At 42.3% G+C, this 24,281-nt stretch overlaps 1 protein-coding gene across 14 annotated transcripts in view, besides 2 other annotated features; it reads left to right on the forward strand.

Annotated features, from left to right (window-relative positions):
* PALM2AKAP2 (PALM2 and AKAP2 fusion) overlaps positions 1-24,281 on the forward strand; it is a 531,726-nt gene that overhangs the window by 174,381 nt on the left and 333,064 nt on the right. The window lies entirely within an intron of this gene.
* Positions 1,031-2,230: an enhancer, noted in NCBI's record as "CDK7 strongly-dependent group 2 enhancer chr9:112578478-112579677 (GRCh37/hg19 assembly coordinates)". NCBI's record gives its function as "activates an origin of replication core promoter dependent on BRD2, BRD4, P300/CBP, MED14 and CDK7 cofactors, with strong dependence on CDK7, by STARR-seq in HCT116 cells {active_cell/tissue: HCT116}" and the evidence as "EXISTENCE:reporter gene assay evidence [ECO:0000049][PMID:35650434]".
* Positions 15,212-15,381: an enhancer, noted in NCBI's record as "experimental_104554 CRE fragment used in MPRA reporter constructs". NCBI's record gives its function as "activates a minimal promoter by MPRAs in K562 erythroleukemia cells, with activity observed for both the introgressed and non-introgressed 9:112592744 variant alleles {active_cell/tissue: K562}" and the evidence as "EXISTENCE:reporter gene assay evidence [ECO:0000049][PMID:34662402]".

A 24,281-nucleotide genomic window follows, 5' to 3' on the forward strand; every position in this document is an offset into this window, starting at 1 on the left:
AAAGGGTGAGAGGTATGGAGAAATAAAGTTGATAGCCATGTTTCCAGCATAGACAAGGGGATGGTTGATGTTGAACATGGAAAGAGGGACATATTTTGGGGAAAAGTGATGAGTTTATTTTGGACATGTTGAGATCATAATACCTTCGGAATATACATGTGAGATGCCTGATAGGAAATAACATGTAGGTATGGAATTCAGGAAGGAGATCTGGTTTTGGGGACTTCAGTAAATCTGCATCAAATAGTAACTTTAGCCATGGATGTGAATGAGGCTATCCAGGGAAAGAATGCAAAATATAAGGTCAACCTGGTGACTCACTGTGCTGAGGGAAGCCAGGGAAGCAGAAGGGGAGTCAGGGTAGACAGAAACAGGGGGGTAGGTGAAGATGAAAGAACTTTCCAGGAAGGAGGGAGTGATGCATGGTGCCAAATGCCACTGACAGGCAATGGTACACATTCTAAAAAGTGTCCATTGAACATACCAACTAGAAGGTAACTGGTGGCCCTCACAAGAATGGAAAAGCAGGTTCAGTGAGGTTGTGGAGTGTGGAGTTCAGCTGAGAGGAAGTTGGGGATTAAATGAAGTCTTTGTCTCCCTAAGTGGTGTGGCTGTGAAGGAAAGAAGAGAAGTAAGTCTTAGCTAGAGAGGGCATAGGATTTGCATGGATTGTTTTAAGAAGAGGAAGTCTAAATTCTTAGGTGAAGGAGTTAGGAGAAAATAGTGAAAGAGGTGAAATGCAGGTGAGTGGAGGATAAATGATGGTATGGGGTCCCTGAGAGGTCAGGGCATGATGGAATTCAAGGTACTGGTTATTAGCCTTTTTATGTACAAACAAAAAAGATATTGATGTTCTATTTATGCTAAGTATGGGCTTGTCCTGGGGAGAAAGTATCTTTAACTGAAGCTAGAGAGTTGACAAGGAACATGTACAAAGATCCCTGGACAGTGTTGAGAGCTCAGATAAGGTTGGAGACCACAGATTTGTAGTGTCGTTCTCCTACACTCCAGGGCACCTTATGTAGGTGTTTGATCTTGGGAAATGAGACTGTGCTTAGCTCTCATTTGGGATTTTTGCCAGATACCTGGATGTAGCCAAAGGACGAGGAGGCAAGATTGTTGAGGATATAGGAAGACAGTGCAGTGATTGGAATGGATTGTTCACATGATCTTAGGCGAAAAGACATAAAAATGAAGACAGGAGGGCTATGATGGACTGGGATAAGATAGAGGAAGCTGGAGATTAGAAGATTTGAAAAGACCCAAGAGCAGAGGTGTGAGGACAAGCCAGTGAGAGACAGGGAAAGAGGCGAGGCTGTGGTTGGAGTCTGGGCCGCTGCACCTAAACAGTTCCACATTTAGTGATGAGGCCAGATTTCAGCCCTGAGTGCAGATCGTTGAGGAGAGTGAAGATCAAGGTCATCAGAGTTGAGGTTTTCAGGAAACTGTGGGAATAGGGTTGAATGAGTCATGAACACAAACACTGAAGTCACCCCGGATGATGGTGGGATTTCATATAGCTCCTGTGAGCCAAGGAATGAAGTCATCAGTGGATGTACGGAAGTGACCAGAAGATCAGCTGGGGACAGAGTTAAGGAGAGAGGGAACAAGGGAACAGATGAGACTTTTTCCATGAGGGCAGAGGAGTCATGGTCTGGAAATGACATGAAGGAGAAAGAAAAGTGCCAAACCCACTTCCTGATCCTAATGCCATCTGGCTTAAGAGCCCATATTCATTGAGTCTGAAATGCAACGGACAACTACCAGTTTGTCTGGAGGCGGTACAAATACTCTTCTAATATTTTTTTAAAAACTATAGGATGTAGTCTATTTTCAACTTTATTCAACCAGATTTATTTACCCCTACCGAGTTTTCTAAATCAGTGAATCAGTATTTTAAGGAATAAATCTTAGGCACATAAAATGATAGGAATAAAATATGTATTATAAAGCTTCTTTAATCAATACAAGCTATTCTTATAAGTCTATTGGTTAATGTCTAGATTGCCGTGCCCACTTAAAATGGGAAAACATTCCAGTTGGCACTTTGTGGATGTTGAGTTGCTACTTGGACACAGTTACTGGCCTTTTGGTCTGATCAGAGGCCAATTTTGAGCTAGGAGTTTCCCATGCATATGCATGATGTCCTACTATCTGTGATACATGCTGGGCATCTGAGCCTGCCTGGTATGCTAATGATCAGACCAGGGAAATGCACATCACTGTGAGTCACAAGGGTAGCACGTCTAATCTAAAAAATTCAAACCCCTATAATTAGAGTTCAGATGTCTTCATAGCTCTATTCCTCAGATTTTTTTGATCTGAAAAACAAAAGCAAACAACAAACAATTGTGTAAAAATAGACAGTCTAGGCTTGTGTAAATTTGCAGTGGAAATCTGCCTCTCTGATGAGCCATACAGTGTCTATGGGTTGAAAAACGAAATTCAGAAAGCAAATAGTTGGTCACCTTAGAGCCCAGAGGGATGCTCAGAATTCCCTAACCTCACAGCGGTGACTACTGAAAGTTTCATTCTGTTTTATGACTTGACTTGCAGCGAGGAAGGTAGCACAGCTGTAAACCAGCTGTATTTTATTTACGCTTGGAAACAGGGCCCCTTTGTTCCAAATGTTCCTGGCCCCCTCCCTCAATTTCATGGATTTAGGTTGTTAGTGGAAAAGTAGTTGTTGAAATATCAGTTCACTCTTGGAACCTGCCACTCACCAGGACTTCTGGCAACCAGTGAGCCTTTTTGTGATATGCAGCAAGGTAAAGAAGTCGTTAAGTGGATCTCCCACATGTTCCTCTGTGACTTCATTCATAGAAATGCGCTGATAACTGAGTTACATTAAGCGCAGTCTTCCCAGCTGTCTGAGGACATAAGGGATGTAGCGCCTCCTAGTGGAGGGAATTTCTTAGCATGTGTTCAACCCCGCACATATTTTTGGAATGAGGCAAGGTATTTAAAAATAGTGTACGCTAATGAATGTATTTATTATATCTGGGTAGCAGCGAAACAGAAAAGGTATAAATAAGCCTTTCGAAAAATGTACTTGCTACACAATCTCTTTTTTTTTGACAAGTCAGCCCTTGAATACAAATAATCTTTTAATGGTGAAAAAAATGACTGAATCATAGCATCTTATAAACATAGGAGCTATGGGTATCAATAACATGGAAACTGAAGCTGTGGTTATTTTTGAGTGGAAGAAGAGGGATTAAAATTGGCGTGGGGCACATGGAGAGGCTTCTGGAAGTGGCTAGCAATTTCTATTTATTTTTAACTGGGTGGTGATTACAAAGGTGTTTGCCTTATAAAAATTCATTTAGCTAAACATTGGTTTTATGATGCTTCTGTATCTGTATTGATAAGAAGGTAAAAAACATAAAAACTTTTCATTAAACATACTACCTGCTAAATTTGCTTTTTAAGGAAAAACCTCAAAAATGCTAAGCCATGTATACTTTTTATTTTTAGAGATGGAGTCTCACTGTGTTGCCCAGGCTGAACTCAAACTCCTGGGATTAAGGGTTTCTCTTGAGTAGTTGGGACTACGGGCGTGCCTGGCATGGTTTTGACACTTTATTTCACTGTACTTTCGAAATAAGACTTAGGTACCAGTGAACACCTACATTGACAGGCCTGGTAATATCATTAAAACTTGAGCTTTTATGTTGTCTGTGGCACAGACTCTCTTCTTTCTAGTTCTTCAGAGAACTCCAAATTCAGTATTTCACTTGGAACATCCAGTTGCCATAGAAATGACCATGTAGGTTACAAGTTCATTTTTGTAACCAGTCAAAAGGAGAAACTAAGAATGACACGAAGGCATCTTTCCATTGGAAAAAAATCCTTTGCAGAGTCCCAATTTGAGAAAAAATACATTTTGCTTTAGAAGTGAGAGGCGAACAGATGAATTAGTAATGCTGAAATATTTGACTCCTTCCCCCACAGGTGAAAACTCCTGCAGAGCATCTTATAAGAAAAATTATTTTAGAGCAATATAGGTGATGGCAAATTGACATTGGGTTGTAATATTCTATCCAACATAGTTTAATTCTGAGTTATTCAATCATAACTAAATTTATTCAAGACATAGAATACATTTAAAAATTCATCTTAAAGGAAATTTCACAAAGGCTTTTACATTCGTGTAATCCAGATGAGAAATGAAGATAGGGGGCGAGCAACAAAGTTGAAAGACCCAAATTGATTCCGGAAGGACTTGCCAAGTTTCTATAATGCCTCATTAGCTGCTTATGTGGCAGGGAGACCTGGGAAGAGCAATAACTCTTTTCTAGGTTCTCAGGTTAGGGAATGAGATTTTGACGTGGCCAATATGATCTTATATGTCCATTTATGTCTTTTACCTTATCATTTTCTTTTACCTTATCATGGACAGAGTGGCCCCCCAGAAGCACAGGATGCAAGACAACACACATTTCAGTGGCTGCTCCTTCTGCATACATCATTGAGCTCTGCCAAGGGTTTGAACACACACACACGTAAATAAAGGCCTAATTATGTGTGTGTGTGTATGTGTGTGTGTGTGTGTGTGTGTGTGTGTATTATATGTATTAAGCTCTTTTTCCTTTCTCCATAGCACTGCATATACAAAGATCAGCCACCCTGAGTTGAAATAAACTGTCATGATCTGTTTGGCATTGTGAGATCACCACTCATCATAAAATAAGCTTTTTAAAATGTTAAAATTGAAGTGAGAGCATGAGCACAAAGAAACAAGGACCAGAAGGTGTTTATAATCATGAAAAATTGGGAACAATTCAATAGGAAAACAGGAAAATGGTTAAATATGATATGTTCGGAGTATGGAATATGATGCAGCAGTTACAAGTAGTAAAATAGATCAGTATGTACTGACATGAAGAAAATAGACTTACACATACCTTATGTAAAGGAGGTGAGGAAAAGGAACAATGGTCTTTTCTGTATTATTAGAATTTGAATATCAAAATTGGATTCATATATTACTTATATAATTAAAAAATTAAGTTAGTCAGACTTAGAACTCTTTGAAATCTAATTTTTGAAAGTTAATTTATGCCATCTGGAGGCAAACATGCCAATGTGATTGAAGTTTCAGTGGTAACCTGAATCCTCAGTCTCGTTGCACATTTACTCTGAAGACATTCTCAAAAGAGAATTGGAGAGGAAATCCACCCAGTGTGTCCCCTCATGTATGTCTGTCTGGGATGCTCCAGTGGTGAGATGCCGTCACCTCAGTCCATTGTGTTAGTTTATTGCAATGTTCTAGGGTTCAGTCTCAGCCCCATTCCTGCCAACTGTTAGCTTAAGGCCCTTGGGCAAAGGAGATAAAATTGTTCAGGGCCAACAGATCTCAGAGTTTCTTGGAACCTTAAAAGGAGATGACCCAAACATTTCTTATTCAAGATGCCACCAGCTCCAGTCACTCACAGTGACTTGCCACAGGGGCTGGTGATGTTAGCTGCTTCCTTGGCGTCTGAGTTCTGGCTTGTGAGCAGATCTTATGCCCAATACATCAGAAACTCCATGTCTCCTTCAGTTGTAGTCGTTGGGAGAATCCATGGGTTGACTGGAGCCTAAGGAAAGCACCAAAAAGTCACTAGAGGCACTGGAGTGGATATGACCTTTTCCTTTGAACAGCAGTTTGCACAACATATACCGGTGGCTTTGTAGATCTGGTTTTCATTACCATTTCTGTCCTGGGGCAGCCATGGAAGCCACCTGGATATTTCAATTAGTGCAGCAAGCTGGAATTCATTTACTTTAGAGTCTACTGCCTGAAGCTTCTCCCAGCTGGGCACCCAACTACGCCCAGGAACTTCTAGATATAACACAGCATCCTGATTTCAGTCTAATAAGTAGATCTATTTTAGTCTTCTCAATTTCCAGTCATTTTGAAAGTGCTCCCCTGTCCCCATACCAGGCATGGGTTCCATTCCCAACTTCTATCACTGTCAGTGGAGGTGGCAGCCTTGTGAGCTGCCAGGTGGGACCAGGTGCAACCCACAGCAAGGCCACTTGATGTCTCAGTCTGTAGAGTAGGTGCTTAATAATTGTCTTTGACGAGTTAATGGGTGCAGCACACCAACATGGCGCATGTATACATATGTAACAAACCTGCACATTGTACACATGTACCCTAGAACTGAAATTATAATGAAACAACAACAACAACAACAACAAAATAATAATAATAATTGTCTTTGAATGGCTGACTGAAAGCACATTCATATTATCTAGTCAAATGAATGTCCACCCTCCACTATAGAGCCTTTGTAACTGAGCTACTGGGGTCTACCTCATTTCAGAATCCCTCAGAGTCCATGGTGTATCCATTCATGCATTCATTGAGCAAATATTATGTACCTGTTCTGTGTTAGAGAATATTTGAAGTGGTGGGAATATAGTGGTGAGAAAGGCATGTTTCTGCCTTCAAGACATCACCATATGAAAGATACTCTGGGATGGATGGAGGGTGTTAATAGAACCCCAGCAAATTGACAAGGTGGCTCCCCCTGTGTCCTCTGGCTAGTAAGGGACTGGTGGCTCCATGAAACAGGGAGCTGCCCTGTGCTGCCCAAGGCTCCAGCCCTGCTTCCTCCTCATCTCCCCCCTGGACGTGACTCTGCCTCATGGGGAGCCCATTCTCTTAGGGATCTTTGTAAACTGATCTTCTTGTGTCAAAAACATCAAATGCCTCAGATTCCATTGCTTATAATAAGCACTTTGGGACCAAAGGAATTTTTTGTAATGAAAAAAACAGTTTTTCATAAGTTAATGTTTTTCCTTTGAGACCTGGATGCCCTTCTCTTATTCATCCACTGCCCATGCAGCTAATCAGATTTGAAGGGTAAAATAATACCAGACTTATCATTGCATGTTACATGAGAAATGTATTAGTTAGGAGTCTGGGGTTCTAAGGCATAGAGACAGCATGAGCTAGCTCAAGGAAAAAGGGGAGGGAATTGTTATAAGGGCACAGGGGTGCCCCACAGAATCGAAAACAGAAATGTGACTAGGCCTAAGGAAAGCGTCAAAAAGTCACTAGATTTTTTTTCTCTCTTTCATCTCTCTTCCCATCTTCCCCATCCATCTATCCATCCATCCATCCATCCATCCATCCATCCATCCATCTATCCATCCATCTCTCTTTCCTTCTCTCCTTCCCAGCTCCTGCCTCTGTATTTCTTCCTCCTTTTTTCTTCCAACTTTCATTTCAGGTTCAAGGGGTATATGTGTGCATTTCTTATATGGGTAAATTGCATGTCACGGGGGGTTGGTGTACAGATTACTTTGTCACCCAGGTAATAAGCATAGTACCTGAAGGTACTTTTTGGACCTCACCCTTTTCCCACCTTCTACCCTCAAGTAAGCCCTGGTGTCTGTTGTTCCCTTCTTTTTGTCCATGGTATACTCAGTGTTTAGCTCCCACTTATAAATGAGAACATGTTGTGTTGGTTTTTGGTTCCTGTGTTAGTTCACTTAGGACAACAGCCTCCAGCTCTATCTATGTTGCTGCAAAGGACATGATCTCATTATTTTTTATGGCTGTGTTGTATTCCACGGTGTATATGTACCACATTGATGTCCACCATTGATGGGCATTTGGGTTGATTCCATGTCTTTGCTGTTGTGAACAGTGCTGTGATGAACATATGTGTGCATGTGTCTTTATGGTAGAATGATGTATATTCCTTTGGGTAGATACCCAGAAATGGGATTGCTGGGTCGAATGGTAGCTCTGTTTTAAGTTCTTTGAGAAATCTCCAAACTGCTTGCCATAGTCCGCCTCTGTATTTCTTCCTCCACCTAGCTTCCTCTGCTTTCTGGTCCATGAGGTCAATCAAATAGGGTTGCCCCATAGTGTCTAAGTTTTCATGTCACCAGCCCAGCCACATCAGAGAGACTCTCGTCAGATCAGCTATGGCCAGAGGTCATATTGTTCCATAGTGGTTCCTGGATGCAGATTAACTTCCAGCGAAAAGGGACACATTTTGAGCAGGACAGACATGGCCAAAGCTATCTAATATGCCCAAGTCTACACACACAGACACATGCCCAAATCCCTCTCATGGCTACACATCCAACCAGAGATGGTCAAATGGACCCTGCCCTGAACCCACATGGGAGGATATGGTTCTGACTTGAGCTGCAGGATCCCAGGGCTTGTGTTGAGGTGGGAACAGCCCTGGACCTGAGCCAGAATACTGGGGCTCCAGTCATGGCTTCACCATTAAACAACTCTAGAGTCTTAAACAAGTTCTTAGCCTGTCTGAGTCTTTATTTTCTGTATAAACTGGGAGTCACAGAGGCAGCTTTCAATTATTTAAAGGACCACTTTATGGGAGGGGGATAGGTGTGTTACCTGTCTAGTGTTGGAAGGTGAAACCACAGTGGAGACCACAGAGTGGCAATTTGTGGCTGGAGATACAGAAGAACCTTCTCCCAATCAGGCTGCCCCACCATGTTCAACCTGCCTGCCTTGCAGAGAGTTGGCTCTCCCTGTTACTGTGGGAAATCCAAGGGGTCTCAGAAAACATCTACAGAATGGAGATACTGGCCCATTTCCTAGCAGGATTATCTGTGTTTGTCTGGGGGTGAGGGGAGTAAATAGAAGTTTGAGTGCTACATACAAATGTGTATTTTTTGCATTGTAATCTTAACAAACAGAAAGAAGTATTTTGCTCCAGTTTGTATATTCTTTCAAAGCCTTTGAACCACACTTTATTTTTTTAGACAGGATCTCACTCTGGCGCCCAGGCTGGGGTGCGGTGTTGTGATCATGGCTCACTACAGCCTCAACCTCCCCCAGCTCAGGTGATCCTCCTGCCTCAGACTCCCAAGTATCTGGGACTACAGGCACATACCACTATGCCTGGCTGATTTTTGTATTTTTGTAGAGACAGGGTCTCACTGTGTTGCCCAGGCTGGTCTCAAACTCCTAGGCTCAAGTGATCCTCCCATCTCTGCCTCCCAAAGCCCTAGGATTACAGGTGTGAGCCACTGTGCCCAGCTGAAGCACACTTTTTAGTGTGTCTGCCACAAGGGTTTCCAAGGCCACTAGCTGGCAGAAGGATAAGGTGGAAATGTAAATGACATGCCCCTCTCTTCATGAAAACAATGTCAGTTGTTCCTCTCAGTCCCCACCATAACAGTTTCTGAAATTCTTTCTCACCTCCTTCACTTATTTATCCTTTCTGCTCCCTGCTAGACTGCTAGGGGTGGGGACAGGAGTGATGTCTGATCACCACTGCCTCTGTGACCATAACCTCTGATACTGTCATTTCTTCTTTCCAAAGTCTTGGCTATCATTTGAGGAGCTGAGACAATAGGATAGTTCTGCTTTCACAGAGCATATTAGCAAATACCCTGTGTGAGGCCCTAATGACATATTTGGCCCTTTCCATCTTTGGGGCTGTAATATTCCCTACAGATGGACCCTTTGGTTAAGTCTCCTTATGTTGCTTTTAGTTTTCATCAATCTCTGGTTGGTTTTTAGAACTACTAAATGGAGCCATTAGGTCATTCAAAAACAGGCAGATGTATGTATGTTTGTGAGCCATGATAGGGATCCAGAAATATTTACATAATTTTCATCTATTAAGAGATTTAACAGCTGTGTCTGCCATGTAGTTACTTTAAAATATAAAATGCAAGGTCAGATCTCTTGGGGATACTGTTTTGTTTTTCTTTTCTTATGATTGCTGTTAACGATGTCATGTTTAAGTAAGGAAAGAAGGTTTTGATATTCCTCTAAGAGTTACCAGCCTGTGGAGGAGTTGTGCTCCAAGAGGATCGAAGGCTTAGAATTCAAATGTAAAAGTGTTTACCTTCTTAGGCCAGTCATCTGATCAACACGTAATGTAGCTGAATTAGTACACATTTCCAAAGAATTTACGAAACAAGACACCTTGCAAAACTAGCAGTCAAATAAAACAGAACTCTAAAATTGAATTTAAAGTACAGTTTTGTCTGGCTAGCCATATGTAGAAAGCTGAAACTGGATCCCCTCCTTACACCTTATACAAAAATTAATTCAAGATGGATTAAAGACTTAAATGTTAGACCTAAAACCATAAAAACCCTAGAAGAAAACCTAGGCAATATCTCATTCAGGACATAGGCATGGGCAAGGACTTCATGTCTAAAACACCAAAAGCAATGGCAACAAAAGCCAAAATTGACAAATGGGATCTAATTAAACTAAAGAGCTTCTGCACAGCAAAAGAAACTACTATCAGAGTGAACAGGCAGCTTACAGAATGGGAGAAAATTTTTGCAGCCTACTCATCTGACGAAGGGCTAATATCCAGAATCTACAAAGAACTCAAACAAATTTACAAGAAAATAACAAACAACCCAATCAACAAGTGGGCGAAGGATATGAACAGACACTTCTCAAAAGAAGACATTTATGCTGCCAAAAGACACATGAAAAAATGCTCATCATCACTGGCCATCAGAGAAATGCAAATCAAAACCACAATGAGATACCATCTCACACCAGTTAGAATGGCAGTCATTAAAAAGTCAGGGAACAACAGGTGCTGGAGAGGATGTGAAGAAATAGGAACACTTTTACACTGTTGGTGGGACTGTAAATTAGTTCAACCATTGTGGAAGACAGTGTGGCGATTCCTCAGGGATCTAGAACTAGAAATACCATTTGACCCAGCCATCCCATTACTGGGTATATACACAAAGGTTTATAAATCATGCTGCTATAAAGACACATGCACACGTATGTTTATTGTGACACTATTCACAATAGGAAAGACTTGGAACCAACCCAAATGTCCAACAATGATAGACTGGATTAAGAAAATGTGGCACATATGCACAATGGAATACTATGCAGCCATAAAAAAGGATGGGTTCATGTCCTTTGTAGGGACATGGATGAAGCTGGAAGCCATCATTCTCAGCAAACTATCGCAAGGACAAAAAACCAAACACCACATGTTCTCACTCATAGGTGGGAATTGAACAATGAGAACACAGGGACACAGGAAGGGGAACATCACACACCGGGGCCTGTTGTGGGGGTGGGGGTAGGGGGGAGGGATAGCATTAGGAGATATACCTAATGTAAATGATGAGTTACTGGGTGCAGCACACCAACATGGCACATGTATACATATGTAACAAACCTGCACGTTGTGCACATGTACCCTAAAACTTAAAGTATAATAAAAATAAATAAATAAATAAATAAAATACAGTTTTGTTTTGTATCATGAATATTGTTGCTACTTGGGAAAAACATGTTTAATCAGGCACTAAAGGGGCAGCTGAAGTGTTTGATGGTGATTCTCAAAGGGATTCTTGGACCCCTCAAGAGTTTTAGAAGATAGTGATGCTAGTATTTTATTATGTATAATTATACTGTAAAATACATTTTTGATACATTATAATTACTTCTGTTTATGACTTAGGTAGTTTTTGCCTTGCAAAAGGGAGATAGGGAAAGAAAGTTTACTTAAATAATTGGAAGCAAAGGGGGAATGAGGAGAAAGCTAATGAAGATGTGAATATTTGTGAGGAAAATTGCCTGTAAGTGTGAATAGGGTGTGAATGGAGAGTGGATGTGTCTGGCAGCACCTCTTCTTATTCTTATCATCTTACTGGGGTGATTGAAGTTGCAAACACATGGCCCTTCACTTCTTTTGTAAACGGACATAATTGATCCAACACAGCATGATTGCTTTCTAGTGCAGCAATTTTCAGAATACTGCCTTCTCAAAGATATGGTTCTCCTGATTGATTATGAAATGAGATAAAAATATAAGTCCTTGGTTTAATAAGTGATGAACAAGCCCATAAAATACTAGGTTTTTACTTTTGCTAGAGTAATCTACTAAGTGAGTTATTAAGGGCCTTTCTGAACTCAAGTTAGTGTGTCACCATAGACTCTAATTAGTCTGAGGACTCTAATTAGTTCTGCTAAAAAGTCTCACTGCTATTCGGTGACAAAGCTCCTATAATGTGGCATGCATGTAGGCAGTTGTAGTTTCCAAAAAAGAAAGAAGTAGGTGGAGCATAGGATGCTCAAAGTAGACAATGATCAAAGACTTTTGAGAGTCATCAGTCTAGGAAAGTTATTCTCAACCCTGGCTGGGTATCAGAATTGTCTGTAGTGCTTCTAAGAATTATGAGTTATGGCCAGACGCGGTGGCTCATGACTGTAATCCCAGCACTTTGGGAGGCCAAGGCGGGTGGATTACAAGGAGTTTGAGAGCAGCCTCCCCAATATGGTGAAACCCCTTCCCTACTCAAAATACAAAAATTAGCCAGGCATGGTGGGGTATGCCTGTAGTCCCAGCTACTCAGGAGGCTGAGGCAGAAAAATCGCTTGAACCTGGGAGGCAGAGGTTGCAGTGAGCCGGGATCGCACCACTGCACTCCAGCCTGGGCGACAGAGTGAGACTCCGTCTAAAAAAAGAAAAAAAATTATGAGTTGCTGGACTGCATGATGATCTACTGAATGAGAATCCATTCTCCCCCCAGTAAACTTTTCCTTTATCTCCTTTATCTCATTGGCAGGCACTCATTCACAGGTCCACTCAAGACAGTCACGGACAAAAGGAAACAGGATTGTGAGGATTTAGCCCCATGGGGCTAGAGCACTGCTACTGAAAAAAAACCACCCTAACTATATTTGCAGCTTTACGGTGTGTAAAACTTCAGTTTAAAAACAAAAGGGAAAAAAGGTCTCTGCCTTCAAAGATTATAAGCTATTCATTCAAAAAGACCAAACATTGTAAGAAATAACTGGATAATTAATCCATAAAGGGCAAGAGAAGTAGAGCCAGCTTTTATTGAGTACCTGCCTACCTGTGTGCTGTGTGCTGTGTGCTGGGTGAGTACTTTATATATGTCACTTCCTTTAATCCTCATTTTAATCTTCAGAGGTCAGTAGTGTCACTGGCATTCTACAGATTAAAATACTGTAGTTGAGGGAATTTAGGGGATTTGAATTGCATTTCCTCTCTAGAATGGGGTGAGACAGAAGTGGTGTCCTTCTTTCAGGCATCTAGGTTTGTTTCTTTGGGGTGTGTATGTGTGTATGTTTCCATGTGTGTGGCAGCTTACCAGGCTATGTCCCAATTAATAAGGAGATGTATCATCCTCATTCCAGTTTTTCAAATGTGACTTGACCAAAATGCATTCTATTCCTATTCTTTGAGTTTATATGCCAGAAATGGAGTGGGCATGTGTGTCTTCTCAGGACTAATCCATGCATGAAGCTCTTTGAATCAGCACAATATTGTACAGCCTAGTTGCGTTCTGTTCATCAAGCATCGGTCGATGATTTATTGACAATGCAAACAAGTGGTCTGTTCATGTGAGTTCATGATGATTTGTGAGTGCTTCCTGCCCATCTGCTCTCTCATTTTAAGTGTGCTCTGTAATATAAAAATGATAGTCATACAATAATTCTATTGGGGTAGATCTGTACCACTACCCAGAGATATTTGTTTGACTTTTACTATTATTTTACAAAATGGGAATTTCTTTCACAAAGAAGATGAGTTCATTGTACTTTGGCTTTTTGTAAGAGAAAGTGAATGTTGTGACACTGACATGAATAAATGAATTCATGTTTTCTGATCCCGTGGAAAGGAAAGAATAGAATAATATCAGCACGTGGATCTCATAATGAAAGGGGAGTAAAGTGAGTCTTCAGAAACAGACTTAAAATAAGCTCAATTCATTGTAATTAGAAAATGGATCTTGAAAGGGCCTTGCCAAAAGGCGATGATGTGATGTTGGGGTGTAGAAGTTTTTTGACAGTGGACTCTTTTATCACAGAATGTGAGGTGAGGCAGAGGAAATATGATTCATGTTATAGTGCTTTAGTTATTGATTACATAGGAGTTTGCTTTCTCCAGCTCTTGTTCATAGCTGCTAACTGGCATACAGAGGAAATATTGTTTACTTATTTAAATAATTTTTAAGATAGTGAAAATTCTGTATGTTTGGTTAAATTATACTTGGTTGTTTGCATAGGCTGTCTCTCCCTGAGACGCTCACCTCACTTCTCTATGGGTCAGCGAAACACATACCCTGTGTAATCACCTCCCCTATAAAACCCCATGGCAACCTCTTCCAACAATTCATCCTTTGCATTCCATCCAAGTATGTCTTGTTATATCCATAGCATTTAGTGCATTTATTATTTCCTCTCCTGCTTTCCTCTACTAGATTTTGAGAGCCTTAAGGACTAGAGAGTGACTGATTCATCCTTGTTTCCCCAGCACCCTGGAGCAAAGAGCCCAGCACATAGTAGTTGCTTGTGGTGAATGTAATTCAGGGTGTCTTAGGACTATCCTGCTCATTATGAATAGAGGATAAAAACAGATTTCTAAGTTCTCCATCTGCCATAAAATTCTGGGAAGAAAAAATATGAAGTATTCCTTTCTGCACACACAGAAGTCTTCCATTTTGCAATTTTCTATCTAGTCTGCTGTCCTTTCTCTCTCTTCTTTATCAGGGCTACACATCCTCTCTCCTGGCCAGAGCGTCATTTGAGGCGTGCTTATGCAGTTCTCATTGTCTTCAATTAAGGTTTGGGACTGAGATTACCAGCTTGGCTTGGTAACCCTGTTCACTTATTAAAAAATCAGTCGATCCTTCATTTTTATGAAAAGATGCAATGCAAAATAACCTTGATTTAGAATTTAATGAGGCTGACATTTAACCTGAGTTCAGTTAGGAAGACAAACAAAAAACACAGACAAAGTTGAGAGAAGGAAAATAATTACCTACTTGAATAGTGTGGGCAATTCTCCATCCATATGCCCCAGGAGAATATGAGGTGGGAGATGCATGAATTACCTGAAATTTCTTTTAGCCTCTGTTTATGATTTTAGTCTTTCAAGATGCAGGTATGTTTTTCAGGCCTTGTGGTCCCCAAACACAAGGAAACTTTCTTTATCTGATGGTCAAAAGAAGTGACGACCTAGTCCTTAGTAGGAGAAAAATGTGCCTGCATGGACTCTTTGTGAGACAGTGTTGTTGGATACTTTATGAACATTTTAAGGGATTCTCATGAGTAATTTTGATTATAGACGATTTTTACTTTATGCATTGACTAGGAACCAAATGCAACTTTCTTAGAGAGACACAAAATTCATTGTCCAAATAGACCATAGGGTCAGCAGGCTTTGTAAACATGTTTTGTATGTGCCTAGGGGTTGAGAGCAGGGGCGGGAGAGGTTCTGGTCCGTTCATCAAACCAGGGGCTGGTGTTAATGTTTGATCAACAAAACACATGTAGGCCTAGGCTCTGATCTAGGTCCAACTGCCAACATAGCCTTTTCATGCCTGCCTTTCCTACTTCAGGTAGAGAGAGGAGAAAAAACCTATTGAGGAAAAAAGAAAGAATAATATTAGCCCAAGCAGTGGTTCTACTCACTTAAGGAGAATGGAGTATGTTTATTTAATTTTAACTGAAAAGTCCTGGCCAATATTTCTAAGCCTGGCTTGGGATAACAGAATGAATGGCCTTGGGGGAGAGGGAGGAGAAAGAAGATGACTGATTTTAGTGTCTGCTTTATGGTGTGTGCTGTTTAATCCTCATGACAATCCTAAGTGGAAGGAAGAACTCCCCATGTTACCAGTGACGCAGCGGAAGCCCAGGTGCTACTGAAGGTCACGCAGTCAGCATTGACGAAGTCTACACTAGAATCCAGGCCTGACACAACCCAAAGTCTGTATTTTTTCCCTCTGCAGTCTCTTAAAATTGGCAAAAGGTAAACCTTCATGCGACCCTAGATTTGATTGGAACAGCAGATTTAGGGGTCATGCAACAGGAGAATGAGTGGATTATAAGTTTTTGAGTCCCCAGATCTTTGGGGAGAAAACCCAATTCTGTTGAAGTAGGAGCTGTTCAATTGGAGGTGAGATTTTTAGTAGGGATTTCTAATGCATTCTTTTTTCCCATTGATGGTTGTTAATACTTCCCCTACACACACACACACACACACACACACACACACACACACACAAGCATAAATAGGGCACACGTATTCTCCCATGTAAGGGCTGCTGTCCCTTCTCCCTCCCACTTATAGCGATGTGTGCCTCTCTGTAGCTGAAGGTTGCCTTGTATTAGGACACTGACTGATGAGTACTCCCCACCAGGGTCCGGAGAGTGTGCTTCATTCACCTTTCAGCCTCTCACAGTTCTGGCACAGGGGAGATAAAGATGTTGATGGTTTGAGGTGCTTTTTGGTAAATAACATAGGCAAACACTTGACACCCCTAGGCTACCACCTGTCCTGTTGTGTGGATACCTATTCAGTGAAGCCAGATAACTTTTACAAATCACAATGAATACATCCTCAGCAGAGCCAGTTGCCTGAGGGAGGTTACTGAATCTTCTGGGAGTCGTTTGCAGGCCTTTAGACACTGGGCTCCTTTCTGGACCATGCCCAAACTAGTGACAGATGCAGTCAGAGTAGCAGAATAAGGAAGTCTAAAGTCACCCAAGCCTCTTAGTTCTTGATAATTGACATGTCCAGCATTTCTTGACCATCAGTAGAAAATACTAAACTTTACAGTACATAAAATAATCAATTCATTCCTCTGATGGGGCAACTATTTAAGTCAGTATGGAACTCTATCTTTCTGATTGCTGCATTAGTCCCTTTTTTTTTGTTTATTTTGCTTCTTAGTAGAAAAGAAAAATCTAAAAGATTCTCATTTTAAGTGACTTGAGCTATCAGTTAAATTTTAAAAGCCAATTATTTTGAAGCAGTAGAGCCTTACGAATTCTAAAGTCACACACTGGAAGCCAAACTATCTAGAGTATAAATATTTCCTTTTGAGGGGGATACTGACAGATTCTTCTATTTTATCCCAATTCCAGTTCCTGACCTCCACTCACAGACAGGGAGGCAAGGGGAAGGCTCACTAATTGGCAAGGCTGGACAAGCATAAAGGATTCAGTGCATAAAGAATCAAGCTTCTGATCCTCTCAAGAGGTCACACGCAGAGTGTCTATGTGCTGGACAGCTTTGGCTGTACACACCAGAAGTGTTCCAGGCGTAAGGTTTTTGGCAAGTCTCGTTGCCTACGTTCAAGTCCTCTCTGAGTCGCTTACTAGTGTGTAAACATAGCTGAGATATATAATGTTTCTAAGCCTCAGTTTCACTGTCTGTAAAATGGCAATGACAATAACTGTACCCACCTCACAAGGATGCTGTGTTGTGAGGTGTGAACGAGCCATTTGTGTCAGAACATAGCACAGTGCTGGGCTCACACTAAGCATTCCATTCATGTCAGCTACTAGCTCTTTGGAACTTTTCAACTTTGGTCCCTAGGGCTACATTAACCCTCTTTCCTGCCAGACAATAATCTGAGGTTGGTTGCTGCTTTCAGAAGAAACAGTGTTTGAAAGCTAAGAAAAATGTACCTAGAAATCTAATTTCTAATTTCATTGTCATGCCTTAACAGAACACCCAGATGCCTTAAAAGACTTTTACAAAATGCAAATTTCTGATCCAGAAAACTTCTCAGCCATAGTGCCAAAGAACATTATCAGACCCAATTCCCTATATCCCAACAAAACCACTCCCCAGTCACAGATTATCCGACACAATTTCATTGGGGTTCTCAAATGGCAAGAGTTTGTTTAAAATGCAAATCTCTGAGCCCCACCCTCAGAGAGGCCAGCGGGGCAGTGGAATATGCACTGAACACTTCGGGCACTAACTCGTGTGCCAATGGTTGCACTTGGACATATACTACTCTAGGCCTTTGGGCTCCTTTCGTCCCTGCAGCACCTTCTGTCCTCAAGACAGGGGCTCTCTTGTTTTCCTCATGCGAGAGCTGTTGCCCAGCTAGTCCATCCCACTGAGGACAAACTCTGACTCACCTTTTAAGATGTAGTTCTCTGGCTAGGCACAGTGGCTCACACCTGTAATCCCAGCACTTTGGGAGGCCGAGGCAGGTGGATCACGAGGTCAGGAGTTTGAGACCAGCCTGACCAACATGGTGAAACCCTGTCTCTACTAAAAATACAAAAATTATCTGGGTGTGGTGGCACACACCTGTAATCTCAGCTACTCAGGAGGCTGAGGCAGGAGAATTGCTTGAACCTGGGAGGCGGAAGTTGCAGTAAGCCGGGATCACGCCACTGCACTCCAGCCTGGGCGACAGAGTGAGCCTCTTTCTCAAAAACAAAAAAGAAAAAATAAAACATGAAGTTCCCAACCATGTGCTGTGTAGTGAGCACCATGGTGGCCCTGCAGTGTACAAAGGTGAATTGGCCATGGTGTGTGTTGGCATGGAGCTCCCAGTCCAGCTAAGAATACCCTTCAGGGCCAAGCTGACTCCACCCTGTTTCCTGAGGCCCAGTCAGCGGTCCCAGCTTCTGGTCTGTGGGCTCACCTAGTTTAAAGACCCCCTTGAGCCTCAAAGGATGTTCGAAGCATGATTCAGTTGGGGAGTTATTGGTCAACATGGTGGGACAATTCTTCACTGTGTGGGACTGCCCTAAACAGTACAGGGTACTTAGCATGTCTGCCCTCCCAATGCTGAGTACCAGTGGTGCTCCACAGTCACTGTGACAATCAAGAAAAGTAATGATTGCCACATGTTTCTGAATACCCCTGACCTCTGGGGAATAATACTGCCCCAAGTTGAGAGCCTCTGTCCGGTTTAGGTCTTTCTCCTCAGTCCATACCTCTGCTACCTCCTTAAGGGACCAGTTCCCTCCAAGGGGCATGCTTTCTTAGAAAAGTCATTTGATGGCCGGGCACAGTGGCTCACGCCTATAAACCCAGGACTTCGGGAGGCCAAGGCGGGCAGATCACCTGAGGTCAGAAGTTCGAGACCAGTCTGACCAACATGGTGAAACCCCGTCTCTACTAAAAAAATAAAAATTAGCAGGACATAGTGGCATGCACCTGTAATCTCAGCTACTTGGCAGGCTGAAACACAGGAATCGCTTGAACCTGGGAGGTGGATGTTGCAGTGAGCCAAGATCACACCACTGCATTCCAGCCTGGGTGACAGAGCGAGACTCCATTTCAAACAAAACAAAACAAAACAGAAAAGAATGTCATTTGACAGTGTACAAAGTTTATATATTTTAACATACAAATGAAGTTGACATGGTATCAACCAAAGGGAAAGAAGGGCCATTTTGTAACAGGCAGAAACCAGTTGGGATTTAAGAAGCATTTTAATTACCCTTACTTTTTTTCTATAAAGGAAAATACTTTTATTTCTTTCACTGATGTGCCGGTGAGAGTCTTAGCAGGCTTGCCTTTGTAGGTAAATATGATGGCACTTCCCAATCATCATGTATTGGGATGTGAAGTTGTGTGGAGTCTGAGGCTGACCCCTGGTAGTGTGAGGACCTTGGGGGATTGCCTTGGAAAATACAGGGTCCAGCCCAAGGCTCTGGCTTTCAGGGTCGGGGGTTGAGATGAATTTGTCACAGCTCCGCCTGAGCTCACCACACTGGGAAGTCAAACAGAGGCAACAGCTTCTGTTTGCTAAGTGTTACCACATGCTAGGCACTGTGTTGAGTATGGTGAAGGACCTCTTAAATCTTCAGAACAACCGACGTTTCAGCATTTTACAGCTGCAAAAACTGAGTCTTAGCAAACATGGTCTTAGAGCCACGAGAATGGACCTGGGACTTAAATCCCAAGTCTAGAGCCTGGACTTGACCACAGCAGCATCCAGCTTCTCACCCATCTTTCGCTCAATTCATCCCTTTAATCATTTATTTTAGGATTCAGTTTGATTCCCCCAATCTCAAAACTTTCAAGGATGAACAATACTTCTCACACAAACACACCTTCTACCGAATGCCAGGAGGGGTCTGCACTTAGATTCCTCAGCTGTCACAGTGCCATTGAGTCTGAGGCTGCCTGACTGCTTGGTTGTGGTTTTTTGACACCTGGCATTTGTGTTTAACAGCCCCAGTGGTTGAGAAGCAGAGGGGACCCACACTGGCAGAGGTGGAGGGAAAGAGGAGAGGGTGTAGGGAAAGAGGAGAGGGTGTAGGGAAAGAGGGGAGGGTGTAGGGAAAGAGGAGAGGGTTTAGGGAAAGAGGAGAGGGTGTAAGGGAAGAGGAGAGGGTGGAGAGGTAGAGGGGAGGGTGGGGGAAAGAGGGGAGGGTGGAGAGATGGAGAGGAGGGTGGAGGGATAGAGGAAAGGGTGGAGGGATAGAGGGGAAGGTGGAGGGAAAGAAGAGAGGGTGGGGGCGGTTCCAAGATGGCCGAATAGGAACAGCTCCAGTCTACAGCTCCCAGCGTGAGCAACACAGAAGATGGGTGATTTCTGCATTTCCAACTGAGGTACTGGGTTCATCTCATTGGGGCTTGTCGGACAGTGGGTGCAGGACAGGGGGTGCAGCACATTGAGCATTAGCCAAAGCAGGGCGAGGCATCGCCTCACCCAGGAAGCGCAAGGGGTCAGGGAATTCCCTTTCCTAGCCAAGGGAATCTGTGACAGACAGCACCTGGAAAATCGGGTCACTCCCACCCTAATACTACGCTTTTCCAATGGTCTTAGCAAAAGGCACACCAGGAGATTATATCCTGCGCCTGGCTCAGAGGGTACCACGCCCATGGAGCCTTGCTCATTGCTAGCACAGCAGTCTGAGATCAAACTGCAAGGCAGCAGCAAGGCTTGGTGAGGGGTGCCTGCCATTGCTGAGGCTTGAGTAGGTAAACAAAGTGGCCGGGAAGCTCGAACTGGGTGGAGCCCACCGCAGCTCAAGGAGGCCTGCCTGCCTCAGTAGACTCCATCTCTGGGGGCAGGGCATAGCTGAACAAAAGGCAGCAGAAACCTCTGCAGACTTAAATGTCCCTGTCTGACAGCTTTGAAGAGAGTAGTGGTTCTCCCAGCATGGAGTTTGAGATCTGAGAACGGTCAGTCTGCCTCCTCAAGTGGGTCCCTGATCCCCGAGTAGCCTAACTGGGAGGCATCCCCCAGTAGGGGCAGACTGACACCTCACATGGCCGGATACCCCTCTGAGATGAAGCTTCCAGAGGAATGATCAGGCAGCAACATTTGCTGTTCAGCAGTATTCACTGTTCTGCAGCCTCGGCTGCTGATACCCAGGCAAACAGGGTCTGGAATGGACCTCCAGCAAACTCCAACAGACCTGCAGCTGAGGGTCCTGACTGTTAAAAGGAAAACTAACAAACAGAAAGGACATCGACACCAAAACCACATCTGTACGTCACCATCATCAAAGACCAGAGGTAGATAAAACCACAAAGATGGGGAAAAAACAGAGCAGAAAACCTGAAAATTCTAAAAATCAGAGTGCCCCTCCTCCACCAAAGGAATGCAGCTCCTTGCCAGCAATGGAACAAAGCTGGACAGAGAATGACTTTGATGAGTTGAGAGAAGAAGGCTTCAGATGATCAAACTTCTCCGAGCTAAAGGAGGAAGTTCAAACCCATCGCAAAGAAGCTAAAACCCTTGAAAAAAGATTAGACAAATGGCTAACTAGAATAACCAGTGTAGAGAAGTCCTTAAATGACCTGATGGAGCTGAAAACCATGGCATGAGAACTACGTGGCGAATGCCCAAGCCTCAGTAGCTGATTCGATCAACTGGAAGAAAGGGTATCAGTGATGGAAGATCGAATGAATGAAATGAAGTGAGAAGAGAAGTTTAGAGAAAAAAGAGTAAAAAGAAATGAACAAAGCCTCCAAGGAATGTGCGACTATGTGAAAAAAACAAATCTACATCTGATTGGTGTACCTGAAAGTGACGGGGAGAATGGAACCAAATTGGAAAACACTCTGCAGGATATTATCCAGGAGAACTTCCCCAACATAGCAATGCAGGCCAACATTCAAATTCAGGAAATACAGAGAACGCCACAAAGATACTCCTCGAGAAGAGCAACTCCAAGACACATAATTGTCAGATTCACCAAAGTTGAAATGAAGGAAAAAATGTTAAGGGCAGCCAGAGAAAAGGTCAGGTTACCCACAAAGGGAAGCCCATCAGACTAACAGTGGATCTCTCTGCAGAAACTCTACAAGCCAGAAGAGAGTGGGGGCCAATATTCAACATTCTTAAAGAAAAGAATTTTCAATGCAGAATTTCATATCCAGCCAAACTAAGCTTCATTAGTGAAGGAGAAATAAAATCCTTTACAGAGAAGCAAATGATGAGAGATTTTGTCACCACCAGGCCTGCCCTAAAAGAGCTCCTGAAGGAAGCACTAAACATGGAAAGGAAGAACCAGTACCAGCCACTGCAAAAACATGCCAAATTGTAAAGACCATCGAGGCTAGAAAGAAACTGCATCAACTAACGAGCAAAATAACCAGCTAACATCATAATGACAGGATCAAATTCACACATCATAATATTAACCTTAAATGTAAATGGGCTAAATGCTCCAAGTAAAAGACACAGACTGGCAAATTAGATAAAGAGTCAAGACCTATCAGTGTGCTGTATTCAGGAGACCCATCTCATATGCAGAGACACACATAGGCTCAAAATAAAGGGATGGGGGAAGATCTACCAAGGAAATGGAAAACAAAAAAAGGCAGGGGTTGCAATCCTAGCCTCTGATAAAACAGACTTTAAACCAACAAAAATCAAAAGAGACAAAGAAGGCCATTACATAATGGTAAAGGGATCAATTCAACAAGAAGAGCTAACTATCCTAAATATATATGCACCCAATACAGGAGCACCCAGATTCATAAAACAAGTCCTTAGAGACCTACGAAGAGACTTAGACTCCCACACAATAATAATGGGAGACTTTAACACCCCACTATCAACATTAGACAGATAACGAGACAGAAAGTTAGCAAGGATATCCAGGACTTGAACTCAGCTCTGCACCAAGCGGACCTAATAGACATCTACAGAACTCTCCACCCCAAATCAACAGAATATAATTATTCTCAGCACCACATCACACTTATTTCAAACTTGACCACTTGGTTGGAAGTAAAGCACTCCTCAGCAAATGTAAAAGAATAGAAATTATAACAAACTGTCTCTCAGACCACAGTGCAATCAAACTAGAACTCAAGATTAAGAAACTCACTCAAAACTGCACAACTACATGGAAACTGAACAACCTGCTCCTGAATGACTACTGGGTACATAATGAAATGAAGGCAGAAGTAAAGATGTTCTTTGAAACCAATGAGAACAAAGACACAACATACCAGAATCTCCGGGACATATTTAAAGCAGTGTGTAGAGGGAAATTTATAGCACTAAATGCCCACAAGAGAAAGCAGGAAAGATCTCAAATTGACACCCTAACATCACAATTAAAAGAACTAGAGAAGCAAGAGCAAACACATTCAAAAGCTAGCAGAAGGCAAGAAATAACTAAGATCAGAGCAGAACTGAAGGAAATGGAGACATAAAAAACCCTTCAAAAAATCAATGAATCCAGGAGCTGGTTTTTTGAAAAGATCAACAAAATTGATAGACCACTAGCAAGACTAATAAAGAAGAAAAGAGAGAAGAATCAAATAGACGCAACAAAATTGATAAAGGGGATGTCACCACCAATCCCACAGAAATACAAACTACCATCAGAGAATACTATAAACACCTCTACACAAATAAACTAGAAAATCTAGAAGAAATGGATAAATTCCTAGGCACATACACCCTTGCAAGACACATACACCCTTCCAGGAAGAAGTTGAATCCCTGAATAGACCAATAACAGGCTCTGAAATTAAGGCAATAATTAATAGCCTACCAACCAAAAAAAGTCCAGGACCAGACGGATTCACAGCCAAATTCTACCAGTGGTACAAGGAGGAGCTGGTACCATTCCTTCTGAAACGATTCCAATGAATAGGAAAAGAGGGAATCCTTCCTAACTCATTTTATGAGGCCAGCATCATCCTGATACCAAAGCTTGGCAGAGACACAACAAAAAAAGAGAATTTTAGACCAATATCCCTGATGAACATCGATGCAAAAATCCTCAATAAAATACCGGCAAACTGAATCCAGCAGCATATCAAAAAGCTTATCCACCATGATCAAGTGGGCTTCATCCCTGGGATTCAAGGCTGGTTCAACATATGTAAATCAATAAACGTAATCCAGCATATAAACAGAACCAAAGACAAAAACCACATGATTATCTCAATAGATGCAGAAAAGGCCTTTGACAAAATTCAACAGCCCTTCATGCGAAAAACACTAAATAAATTAGATATTGATGGGACGTATCTCAAAATAATAAGGGCTATTTATGACAAACCCACAGCCAATATCATACTGAATGGGCAAAAACT

Source organism: Homo sapiens, chromosome 9 (assembly GCF_000001405.40).
Source record: "Homo sapiens chromosome 9, GRCh38.p14 Primary Assembly".
In the NCBI taxonomy this organism is placed as follows: domain Eukaryota; kingdom Metazoa; phylum Chordata; class Mammalia; order Primates; family Hominidae; genus Homo; species Homo sapiens.